The 12,462-nt window shown below is 49.7% G+C and overlaps 1 non-coding gene across 1 annotated transcript, besides 1 other annotated feature; it reads right to left on the bottom strand.

Annotated features, from left to right (window-relative positions):
* Nucleotides 1-1,016: 1,016 nt before the first annotated feature.
* MIR3159 (microRNA 3159) lies at nt 1,017-1,090 on the bottom strand. The gene has a single exon (NR_036116.1). It is a non-coding gene; the product is annotated as a microRNA 3159 (primary transcript).
* Nucleotides 4,466-4,525: an enhancer, noted in NCBI's record as "active region_4498". NCBI's record gives its function as "activates an Ori minimal core promoter by ATAC-STARR-seq in GM12878 lymphoblastoid cells {active_cell/tissue: GM12878}" and the evidence as "EXISTENCE:reporter gene assay evidence [ECO:0000049][PMID:35858748]".

The following is a 12,462-nucleotide window of genomic DNA, read 5'->3' as shown; positions in this document are numbered from 1 at the left end:
ATGCCTGCTATGTAAAGGGACTGTGCTAGGTATTGGGGATACAAAAATGAATACAACAAACTTATAAGCCTTCGAAGACTTTCGTATTTAGTGGAGGAAACTGACAGCCTCGCCCTTAATAGTCAGAATGCATAAGAGAATGTAACTACTGCAAAAGAGGTAGAGAAAAGTGCTCTGCCATTCAGAGGAGAGAGGGCATTTGGGTAAGGATACCAAAAAAGGCTTCCTGGAAGAGGTAGCATCTGAGCTGCAGCTAGAAGAGGATTTTAATTGGTAAAGATCAGGGGCTGAGAAAGCAGAGAACAAAGCATGAATAAAATGCACAGGGGCAGGAAAATACATGGTGAGTCTGGTTAATCTTTAGCCTTAAATGCCAGGCTAAGAAATTTGGGGGAGACAGGGTATGCTGGCTGACATTTGTTTTTTTTTGTTTTTTTTGTTTTTTGAGACAGAGTCTCACTCTGTCGCCCAGGCTGGAGTGCAGTGGCGCAATCTCGGCTCACTGCAAGCTCCGCCTCCGGGGTTCACGCCATTCTCCTGTCTCAGCCTCCCGAGTAGGTGGGACTACAGGCGCCTGCCACCGCGCCCGGCTAATTTTTTGTATTTTTAGTAGAGACGGGGTTTCACCGTGTTAGCCAGGATGGTCTCGATCTCCTGACCTTATGATCCGCCCCCCTCGGCCTCCCAGAGTGCTGGGATTACAGGCGTGAGCCACCGCGCCCGGCCAACACTTGTTTTTTTGTTCTTGTTTGTTTGGTTGGTTGGTTGATTGTTTTTGAGATGGAGTCTCGCTCTGTTGCCAGGCCAGAGTGCAGAGGCGCGATCTCCGCTCACTGCAAGCTCCGCCTTCCGGGTTCAAGCTATTCTCCTGCCTCAGACTCCCGAGTAGCTGGGACTACAGGCGCGCACCATTACACACAGCTAATTTTTTCGTATTTTTAGTAGAGACGAGGTTTCACCATGTTGGCCAGGATGGTCTCGATCTTCTGACCTCGTGATCCACCCAGATCTGTCTCCCAAAATGCTGGGATTACAGGCGTGAGCCACTGTGCCCAGCCCGTGGCCGACACTTGTAATCCTAGGACTTTGGGAGCCTGAAGCAGGAGGATTGCTTGAGCCCAGGAGATTGAGGCTGCAGTAAGTCATGCTTACACCACTGAACTCCAGCCTGGGCAACAGAGTAAGGAAAGGAAGGCACCAGGATTTTTTTTAGTAATACACAACATACAGATCTACAACATGTACAGACCATATACAGCTCCAACCACATGTGTTCAGAACATACACTTCTCATACAACCCTAGACAGCCCCACAGTCCCTTCAAACCCTCACTGACAGCCTGACTCTTTTTTTTACCTTTTCTGTGGTTGCAAAACTGATGGCTTTCCTGAGTTGCAGGGCCCAAGATGCAGACAACCTCATCAGTCTCTGTTCCTGAGATACCAGGGCCTACTATGTACGTACCAAAGTAGAGGCTCCTCTCTTTGGCATGAGAGCAGGCACCTGCTCCTGAGAAACTCCTTCATGTCCCTCTCCTCATCCCAAGCCCCATCTGTCTCTCAGATGACAGGAATGGATGCCAGAAGACTCCACCCTGACTGTTCAGGTTCTCCTGGGTGACAACCCCTGGTCCCCTAATGCCTGTCTCCTCCTCCTCACCCGCTCCTCCTCCAGGCAAGGCTCATCCTCAGGCACAAGATGCTGCCTGCATTTCCTCTTTTGGCTTGGACCATCATTCCCTCCAGAATTCATTCCTCACACTGTTCCCTAATAAAATCCATCTCAAAAACTCTAGATTCCTTCCCAGCCACTTCCTAACCCAGGAAATAAGTAGCAGCTGTGTCCTTTCTCTCCCTCTTTCCCTGGCTGGGATTTGGGCCTCAAGCTTCCCATCCCACTGAGAAGTTCCAGAGCAAAGACTGTCACCAGAATTTAAGTGACTTCCAAACCCAGGGCCCCCAAAATCAGTGCTGCAGAGGGAGTCCCAAGGCCCCTTCAAGCCAGACAGTCACCAGTGGCACCCACAAGCAGAAACTGTCTGTTGTCTAATCACAGCAGGGGAGGACCATGAAAAGTTGTGATAGCCTTTCCCTCTGACACCTTGGGTGGCAAGGACAGTGATGGGCATGGCGGGACAGAGACGACGGGGCAGCTGATGGATAGGGGACACTGGCCTGGGGGTCAGGAAACATGTATTCTTACCCCAGCTATGTCATGGACACCTGGGTAACATTGTGGCAGTTGCATTCCCTCTGTAGCCTCAGCACCCTTGACTGCAAACATAAAAGGATCTCTCTTGGCCGGGTGCGGTGGCTCATGCCTGTAATCCCAGCACTTTGGGAGGCCGAGGCAGGTGGATCGCTTGAGGTCAGGAGTTCAAGACCAGCCTGGCCAACATGGCGGAATGTCATCTCTACTAAAAATACAAAAATTAGCCGGGCTCTATAGTGGGCTCTTGTGATGCTAGCTACTCAGGAGGCTGAGGTACGAGCATCGAACCCAGGAGGCGGAGGTTGCAGTGAGCCCAGACAGCGCCACTGCACTCCAGCCTGAGCGACAGAGCGAGACTCCATCTCAAAAAGAAAAAAAAGGGCCTCTTTCTTCCAGCTGTAATGTCCAAGGAGGCTCTGCGGTAGTGAGTCCAGCTTCCACACAACACACCTTCATTTTTACAATGCTCAGGACTCAGAGGCAAAGCGCTCCCCATTTTGGGAAGTGATCAGGACTGCTCCTGAGATAAGGGAGAAATGCCTATGGCGACAGGAAACCTATGCCTGCCATCCTCTTGTCCCCCATATTAGTTCCAAAACAGGATCCCAAATGCCCAGTACACTGGTGGGTGTTTGTTAAATTTGTTAACAAAAACTATCTTGGCCAGGCGCGGTGGCTCACGCCTATAATCCCAGCACTTTGGGAGGCCGAGGCCGGGGGATCACGAGGTCAGGAGATTGAGACTATCCTGGCTAACAGGGTGAAACCCCGTCTCTACTAAAAATAATAATAATTTAAAAAATTAGCCGGGCGTGGTGGCGGGCGCCTGTAATCCCAGCTACTCGGAAGGCTGAGGCAGGAGAATGGCGTGAACCTGAGAAGAGGAGCTTGCAGTGAGCCGAGATCGTGCCACTGCACTCCAGCCTGGGCGACAGAGCAAGACTCTGTCTCAAAAAAAAAAAAAACTATCTTGGGCCTGGCGCAATGGCTCACGCCTATAATTCCAGCACTTTGGGAGGCCGAGGCGGGTGGATCACTTGAGGTCAGGCATTCAAGACCAGCCTGGCCAACATGGAGAAACCCTGTTTCTACTAAAATACAAAAATTAGGTGGGTGTGGTGGTGGGCTCCTGTAATCCCAGCTATTCAGGAGGCTGAGGCAGGAGAATCGCTTGAACCTGGGAGGCAGAGGTTGCAGTGAGCCGAGATCATGCCACTGTACTACACCCTGGGCAAGACAGAGCGAGACTCCTTCCCAATAAAAAACAAACAAACAAACAAACAAACAAAACAAAACAAAACAAAAAAACTTGGCGGGGCGTGGTGGCTCATGCATGTAATCCAGCACTTTGGGAAGCTGAGGCAGGTGGATCATGAGGTCAGGCATTCAAGACCAGCCTGGCCAACATGGCGAAGCTTCGACTCTACTAAAAAATACAAAAATTAGCCAGGCGTGGTGGCGGGTGCCTGTAGTCCCAGCTACTCGGGAGGCTGAGACAGGAGAATTGCTTGAACCTGGGAGGCAGAGGTTGCAGTGAGCAAAGATCGTGCCACTGCACTACAGCCTGGGTGACAGAGCAAGACTCTGTCTCAAAAAAAAAAAAAAATATATATATATATATATATATATCTCTTGTCCCAACACAGTGGCTTATGCCTGTAATTCCAACACTTTAGCAGGCCTAGATGGGAGGATTATTTGAAACCAGGAGTTCAAGACCAGCCTGGGCAACACAGTAAGACCTTGTCCCTACAAAAAATTTTAAAAATTAGGTTCTGCTGGACAAGGGGGCTCTCTGCCCTGTTCTTTGAGCCTGCTCAGAGGACACTGCCCTGAAAAGGCAGCCCTACTCATTTCTGTAGGGTGCTAGAAGGGAAGCCTGAGATTCTCTTATGAGGAGTCAAAGAAAACTCCTCAGATGCTCAGGAGGGAGCTCAGGCTGTGGGGGGCCGGTGCCGATGTGGAGAAGGCTTCTTCTGTGGCCAGATAAAGGACATCAGGTCCTTCCCTTGCGTGTAGCTGTGGTGGCTTTCACAAGCATTCTCTCAGGGTGTTTTCACCCTGACCAGAAGAGGAAAGCAGGAGCTTTAATATTTAACTGGTGATATTGCCAAAACACAAAACATTGAATTGCTCCAGGCCACACAGCGGGAAAGTGGCCAAGTGGATTTCAAACTCACCACTCTGTACCTCTGACTTCCTGTCTCACAGTCTGGGAGGATAGTAAGCAAGTACTTAGCCCTTTGCTTCCTGGATTTCAAAGGGCAAAAGTAATAAATACTCCCTAGCTCCCTCCCCTGCCCAAGGCTACAGGAAGGTCCAGACAGCTCCTCTGGCTCACAGGGCTACTTCAGGGCTTTATCTAATTAGCCTCCCTCTCCCTGGTGCTGCATTAGCCTTGCATGGCCCTTGGGTGTACAAGGCCGAGCTCTGCCTTTTGTACAAACACACTTGCAGCGTCAGGCTCTCTCAAAGGACAGTTTCACTGAGCTCATACTCCAGTTTTAGCCACAGAAGGGATGAAAGCCTCAGAGAAATCCTCATAGCCTTGGTCTTCCTTTACCCACTGAATCAGAGGGAGATCACCAGCCCCTGACACCTGCCCCTGCCTCACTTATGCTGCAGGGCCTCTCAGTAACCCTGCCTAGCCCACAGGGCAGACATTAGTCACACAGTGGAGACTTCGTGCTCAGAGAAGAGACGGGAAGTTTTCTTGGTCCGCCCTAGTGTTTCAGTGGTGGTGACTCAGGGCCTAGAACTTCCCAAGCACCCTAGAGGTTTCTTCTCTGCACCATGTACCATGACCTTCACAACATGCCTGGCACTGTGGGTGTGGTTCTCCCTCTAGTCTCTGACTCCTGGGTTTTTTCCACTGTACCAGAGCTTCTTCCAACAGCCCTTGCTTGGAGTTGACAGCTCTGTAGCTTGGCCTCACTCTGCAGGAGGCCACACCCCAGCTTTTAAAGCTACAGCGTCGGCTGAAGGCTACCTCAGTGGAGAGCTCCCAGCCTCAGCTTCCTCTCCAGTTGTCTTTTGGCTGCAAACTCATGATGTCACAGACAACCCCGACCCGACCCCCACCACAAGCTGGTTTTCAAGCACCCAAATTCCTCCCCTTTCCTCAGGAAGGCTGCCTGTCAACCACAGATGGGTATAGGCTGTGCCAGCATCTCCATGGTAACCATGGGCCGCAGCTTCCTGCCTTGATCCAGAGCTTGCACCCGTGGCAGGGCTCCCTTGCAAGGAGGGCTGGCTGTCACAGTAGGCCCATTACACATCTCACTATCATCCTCGCATGGGGACAGCTTAGGGAGGCAGCACAGCTCAGGAGTTCTTTGAGGAAGGTCTGAAAGGGGGCAGACTGGGAAGGCTCTCCCTTCTTTGTGGAATCGATTCTTCACGGTAGGCTGTGGGGTTCCAGTGTTAACACTTTTTCAGGGCATGGGTGAAAGTTGAAAATGTGAGTTTGTGAGTTGGCTTTAGACTTTGCTCTCTTGGGGGGTACAGGAGAGAGACTGCAATTGATTAGGCAATAATTCCAGTTCCTTGCCACCCCTAACTCCATAAAATGTCCCCTGGGGCAGTTGAGGAGCTCTCAACTAGGGGGGCTGTTTATCCATGTGGAATCAAAGACTCCAGAGTGAGACGGGGGCCAGCGAGGGCCAACAAGAGGAGAGCCAACCTGAAATGCACCCTTTTGAGGACTGAGGAGGTATCTTCTGAGAGATTCTGTTTCCAGGAGAAAAGCAAACCAGAATACAAACTGCAGCTGCTGCTGTTCCTCCTGCTTCTCATCTCCGTCCTCTAAGCACATCTCCTCTGCTTCCAACCGCAGTACTAGGAGGCAGGGCATGGGAGTGAGCCTGAAACTCATTGTAGCAGACCAAAGCTCACAGCCTTCCCTGACCCCTGCGTATTTGTTTTTTTGTTTTTTTTTTTCTGAGATGGAGTCTCACTCTGTTGCCCAGGCTGGAGTGCAGTGGTGTGATCTCGGCTCACTGCAACTTCTGCCTCCTGGGTTCAAGCAATCCTCCCACCTCAGCCTCCAGAGTAGCTGGGACTACAGGCGCATGCCACCATGCCCTGCTAATTTTTTTTTTTTTTTTGAGACGGATTCTCGCTCTGTCGCCCAGGCTGGAGTGCAGTGGTGCGATCTCGGCTCACTGCAAGCTCCGCCTCCCAGGTTCACACCATTCTCCTGCCTCAGCCTCCCGAGTAGCTGGAACTACAGGCGCCCACCACCAAGCCCAGCTAATTGTTTTGTATTTTTATTAGAGACGGGGTTTCACTGTGTTAGCCAGGATGGTCTCAATCTCCTGACCTCGTGATCCCCCCTGCCTCGGCTTCCCAAAGTGCTGGGATTACAGGCGTGAGCCACGGCGCCCAGCCAACACACCCTGCTAATTTTTGTATGTTTTTGTAGAGACGGGGTTTCACCATGTTGGCCAGGCTGCTCTCAAACGCCTGAGCTCAAGTGATCCGCCCTCCTTGGCCTCCCAAAGTGCTGGGATTACAGGCGTGAGCCACCGCGCCCAGCCTTGCATAATCGTTCTTTTCATGTTCAACTTCTTTTCCAAATCTCCTTGGAGGGCAGTTAGGTGTTTGCACTTCTGTGATATATAATCAAGAATACCAGTGGGCGCGGTGGCTCACACCTGTAATCCCAGCACTTTGGGAGGCTAAGGTGGGTGGATCACCTGAGGTCAGGAGTTCGAGACCAGCCTGACCAACATGGAGAAACCCTGTCTCTACTAAAAATACGAGATCAGCTGGTCATGGTGGTGCATGCCTGTAATCCCAGCTACTCGGGAGGCCAAAGCAGGAGAATAGCTTGAACCCGGGAGGCGGAGGTTGCAGTGAGCCGAGATCACACCATTGCACTCCAGCCTGGGCAACAAGAGCAAAACTCTGTCTCAAAAAAAAAAAAAAAAAAAAAAAAAGAATCATGTTAGCTGGGCACAGTGGCTCATGCCTGTAATCCCAGCACTTTGGGAGGCCAAGGCGGGCAGATCACTTGAGGCCAGGAGTTCGAGACCAGCCTGGCCAACATGGTGAAACCTTGTCTCTACTAAAAATACAAACATTAGCCAGGCATGGTGGCGGGCACCTGTAATCTCAGCTACTTGGGAGGCTGAGGCAGGGGAATTGCTTGAACCTGGGGGAGATGAAGGTTGCAGTGAGCCGAGATTGCGCTACTGCACTCCAGACTGGGCAACAGAGTCCCTGTCTCAAAAAAAAGAATACCATGTTGGGGAAGACTGTATAGAATGACAGCAGGGAGAAGAATTTGGGTCCTTAGGCTGTTAATCTAATAAAGAGAGAGAGAGAACACCTCAAAGGAATTTGGGGGGCACTGAGGGTGGGAGAGTTGAAGAGATGCCTTAACTTCTGTGGACTGTGATCAGAGTGAACTGTAGAGGAATGAGGCCTCTAGCTATTCTCATTTAGTGCTGTTGTAGACATCATTGGAATCTCCACTATCACTTGGCCAAATGTGAAGCTAAGGATTTGAGCTATTTTGGAATTACTTTTCTTTTTCTTCCTTTTTTTTTTTTTTTTTTTCCTGAGATAGGGTCTTGCTCTGTTACCCAGGCTGGAATATAGTAGCATGATCATAGCTCACTGCAGCCCTGAACTCCTGGGCTCAAGCAATACGCCATGCTCAGCCTTCTGAGTAGCTGGGACTTCAGGCGTGTGCTACCACGCCTGGCTAATTTTTAAATTTTTATGTAAAAATGAGGTCTTGCTATGTTGCCCAGTATGGTCTTGAACTCCTGGGCTCAAGTGATCCTCTTGCCTTGGCTTCCCAAAGCATTGGGATTATAGGCATGAGCCAGTAAGCCTGGCCTGAAATTACTTTGGATTGCTGACAGGTGCTTCTTAGACAGTGCTGGGAGACAAAACCTCATGGTTCCAGACTTTGTGAGAATTGCAATAATAATTACTCCTATATTTAATTAGTTAATTAATTTATTTATTAGGTCGAGTCTCACTCTGTTGCCCAGGCTGGAGTGCAGTGGCATGATCTCAGCGTGCTGCAACCTCTGCCTCCTGGGTTCAAGCAATTTTTATCCCTCAGCCTCCCGAGTAGTATGGACTACAGGTGTGCACCACTACGCCTGGCTAATTTTTGTATTTTTAGTAGAGGCAGGGTTTCATCATGTTGGCCAGGCTGGTCTCAAACTCCTGACATCAGGTGATTTGCCTGCCTTGGCCTCCCAAAGTGCTGGGATTACAGGCGTGAACCACCGAGGCTGGCCATTATTTATTTATTTTTATGAGACAGAGTCTTGCTCTGTCGCTCAGGCTGGAGTTCAGTGGTGTGATCTTGACTCACTGCAACCTCTGCCTCCTGGGTTCAAGCGATTCTCCTGCTTCGGCCTCCTGAGTAGCTGGGATTACAGTTGCATGCCACCATGCCCAGCTAATTTTTTATTTTTAGTAGAGATGGGGTTTCACCATGTTGGCCAAGGCTGGTCTTGAACTCCTGACCTCAAGTGATCCACCCACTTCGGCCTCCCAGAGTGCTGGTATTATAGGTGTGAGCCACCGCGTCCAGCCTTAATATGTACTAAATCCTACAAATTCATTATCTAATTTAATCCTCACAATTACACATTTTAACAGAAACAGAAACTGAGTCTTAGGGAGGTAAAGTAACATGCCTAAAGTCACTTGGGCATATGTGCTGGAGCCAGGCCTCAAAGAAAATGAAATCCAGAGGCTGGGTGTGCCGGCTCACGCCAAAGTATATCCCAAAGTATATCCCAGCACTTTGGGAGACCGAGGCGGTGGATCATATGAGGTAGGGAGTTCAAGACCAGCCTGGCCCACATGGTGAAACCACGTCTCTACTAAAAATACAAAAATTAGCCGGGCGTGATGGCATGTGCCTGTAATCCCAGCTACTCAGGAGGCTGAGGCAGGAGAATTGCTTGAACCTGGGAGGCAGAGGTTGCAGTGAGCTGAGATCGTGCCACTGCACTCCAGTCTGGGCCACAGAGCGAGACTCCGTCTCAAAAAAAAAGAAAATGAAATCCAAGTAGCAGCTTGAGATCCAGGTAGCAGCTTAGCAGCTGGGTAGGCTCCCTGCATGGAGACCAGGAACTGCCATTACCTCTAAGAGCAGAGAAAACAGGGTGTTCCTCTCAGTAAGCTCCCAAGAAAATTGCCAGGCCATGCTGAAGAGGGTTCTTACTGATCTGATGAAGCAGAAAATCAAAGAGATTTACATGAGGCGTTGTGGCTCGGAGGCTGCTCCCTCACAAATCTGAGCACCAGGAATGTGCTGGAGCCCAGGTGACCATCTGTAGCAGCTCCTGCCAGCCTGTTTCTGTGCTGCTTTGTTAAGTCCCAGAGGCAGGGGATGGGGAAACACAGAGAGAGTGACTCTCTCTGAGGAAGCCCTATTTTTCTTTTCTTTTCTTTTTTCTTTTTTTTTTTTTGAGACAAAGTCTCACTCTTGTCCGCCAGGCTGGAGTGCAATGGCACGATCTTGGCTCACTGCAACCTCCACCTCCAAGGTTCAAGTGATTCTCCTGCCTCCGCCTCCTGAGTAGCTGGGATTACAGGCACCTGCCACTATGCCCAGCTAATTTTTGTATTTTTAGTAGAGACGGGGTTTCACCATGTTGGCCAGGCTGGTCTCAAACTCCTGACCTCAGGTGATCTACCCACCTCGGCCTCCCGAAGTGCTGGGATTACAGGCGTGAGCCACTGTGCCTGGCCTAGGAAGCCCTATTTTTCTATCTTTCTGCGCAGGCCTTTCAGAAAATTGACATCTCCCTCCTACTTGCACCACTTGGAGAGAAGCTCTTCACCTCTCCTAGGGACATGGAGGTGCAGAAAGCAGGGCCTCCAGCTGCTCTGCATTGTCCTCCAGCAAGAAGGTCCCAGACAGTAATCATTGTGCAGTGGGAACCTCAGGTTTGGGAGCCACACAGACCTGGGTTCAAATCCTGACTCTGTTCCTACTGCCTGAATGCTTCTGGACAAGTCACTTAACCTTTTGAAGCCTTAAGTGTCTGTGACATAAAAAAAAATGATAGCCCCCATGTGAAAGGTTTAATGCAAACAAAAGTACTTGGCACAGGGTGATTGCCCAATAAACCATATTCCTATTGCAGGAAAATGACTTGGGAAGAGGCGAGTTTGTGGTTCCTGTTCTGACAGTTTGTTTCATCTATTTTGGACTGTAATTTTTTTTTTTTTTTTTGAGACAGAGTCTCGCTCTCTCCCCCAGGGTGGAGTGCAGTGGCGTGGCATGATTTCAGCTCACTGCAACTTTCATCTTTTGGGTTCAAGCAATTCTCCTGCCTCAGCCTCGTGAGTAGCTGGGACTACAGGCGCCTGCCACCACAATCGGCCAATTTTTTGTATTTTTTTTAGTAGAGATGGGGTTTCACTGTGTTGGCCAGGCTGATCTCAAACTCCTGACCTCGTGATCTGCCCACCTCGACCTCCTAAAGTGCTGGGATTACAGGCGTGAGCCACCGCACCTGGGTTTTTTTTTTTTTGGAGATGGGGATCTTGCTGTGTTGCCCAGGCTGGACCACAGTGACTGACTATTCACAGGTGCGATCATAATGCACTATAGCTGTGAACTCCTGCCTCAGCCTCCCAGGTAGCTGGCACTACAAGTGTGTGCCACTGTGTCTGGCTAATGCCAGTTATGTTTAAAAACACATATACATTAAAATATATAAGTTTTACAATTAAAAAAAGTTAATTCATCTGAAATTTACTCTCTCAACCTCCTGGAGGTGTGCTAACCACACTTTAGAAAACAATGGGTTAGGCTGGGCGCAGTGACTCATGTCTGTAATTCCAGCACTTTGGGAGGCCGAGGCAGGAAAAATGTTTGAGCCCAGGAGTTCGAGACAAGCCTGGGCAACATGGTGAGACCCCATCTCCACAGAAATTAAAAAATTACCAGCCGGGAGTGGTGGCTCACGCCTGTAATCCCAGCATTTTGGGAGGCCGAGGCGGGTGGATCACGAGGTCAGGAGATAGAGGCCATCCTGGCTAACACGGTGAAACCCCGTCTCTACTAAAAAAATACAAAAAATTTGCCGGGCGTGGTGGTGGGTGCCTGTAGTCCCAGCTACTCAGGAGGCTGAGGCAGGAGAATGGCGTGAACCCGGGAGGCGGAGCTTGCAGTGAGCCGAGATTGTGCCGCTGCACTCCAGCCTGGGTGACAGAGCGAGACTCCGTCTCAAAAAAAAAAAAAAAAAAATTACCAGCCTGGCCAACATAGTGAAATCTCATCTCTAGTAAAAATACAAAATATTAGCCAGGCATGGTGGCAGGCGCCTGTAATCCCAGCTACTCGGGAGGCTGAGGCAGGAGAATTGCTTGAACCTGGGAGGCGGAGGTTGCAGTGAGCTGAAATCGTGCCATTGCACTCCAGCCAGAGCGACAGTGCAAGTCTCAAAAAAAAAAAAAAAAAACAACAAAACTAGCTGGGCATGGTGTCATGTGCCTGTGGTCTCAGTTACTTGGGAGACTGAGGCAAGGAGGATCACCTGATCTCCAGTCAGCCAGGTTTGCCCCACTGCACTCCAGCCTGGGCGACAGAGTAAAACCCTATCTCAAAAAAAAAATTTTTTTTAAAAAGAAAAAACACTGGGCTAATGAAGAACTTGGTAGTGGAATGACAGTGACATGCTCACGCGGAAACTTTGGCTTGGTATATCACAAGGCACTGTGACTAGCTAATAAGAGGATGGAGAACATCAGTTTACAGCAACCATCTTATGGGGCTTTCAGTCATGAAATGGTGAGCATGCGCCTAAACACAAAAATAAAACATTACCAAAACTCAATGCTAGTGGACCTCTGGTTAAACATGATGAATTGACCTGATACATTTATCTTAACTCCTTCCTCAAGCCCCACTAAAGTGATAGGAAAATAACACACAAAAATGAAGGGACTGGAAGATGAGAAGTCTGCCAGCAATGCTTTGGAAAGTAGAAATCAGTGGAGACTGAGACCATAGTGAAATTCAAGTGCCCACACAGGGAGGGAGTGAAGAGATGGAAGCTGATTTGCTCTGAAGAGCACTGTTCAGTCTCAGGAATTGGAGGTACCAGGTACCATGGAAGGGAAGGGTAAAGTGTGGGGCTGTAACAGGGGCTATAAGGAAATGCTAGGCTCTCAGACTTCTATTCCCACCCTGAAACAAAATGGCTACCTCCTGCCTCCACCTTAAGTGAGAACAGGTTTATTTTCTGAGGAAATGCAATCAG

The sequence above is a fragment of the Homo sapiens genome, chromosome 11, assembly GCF_000001405.40.
Source record: "Homo sapiens chromosome 11, GRCh38.p14 Primary Assembly".
Classification (NCBI taxonomy): Eukaryota; Metazoa; Chordata; class Mammalia; order Primates; family Hominidae; genus Homo; species Homo sapiens.
Note: the sequence above shows the minus strand (reverse complement) of the source record. Positions and strands in the feature narration are given on the sequence as shown.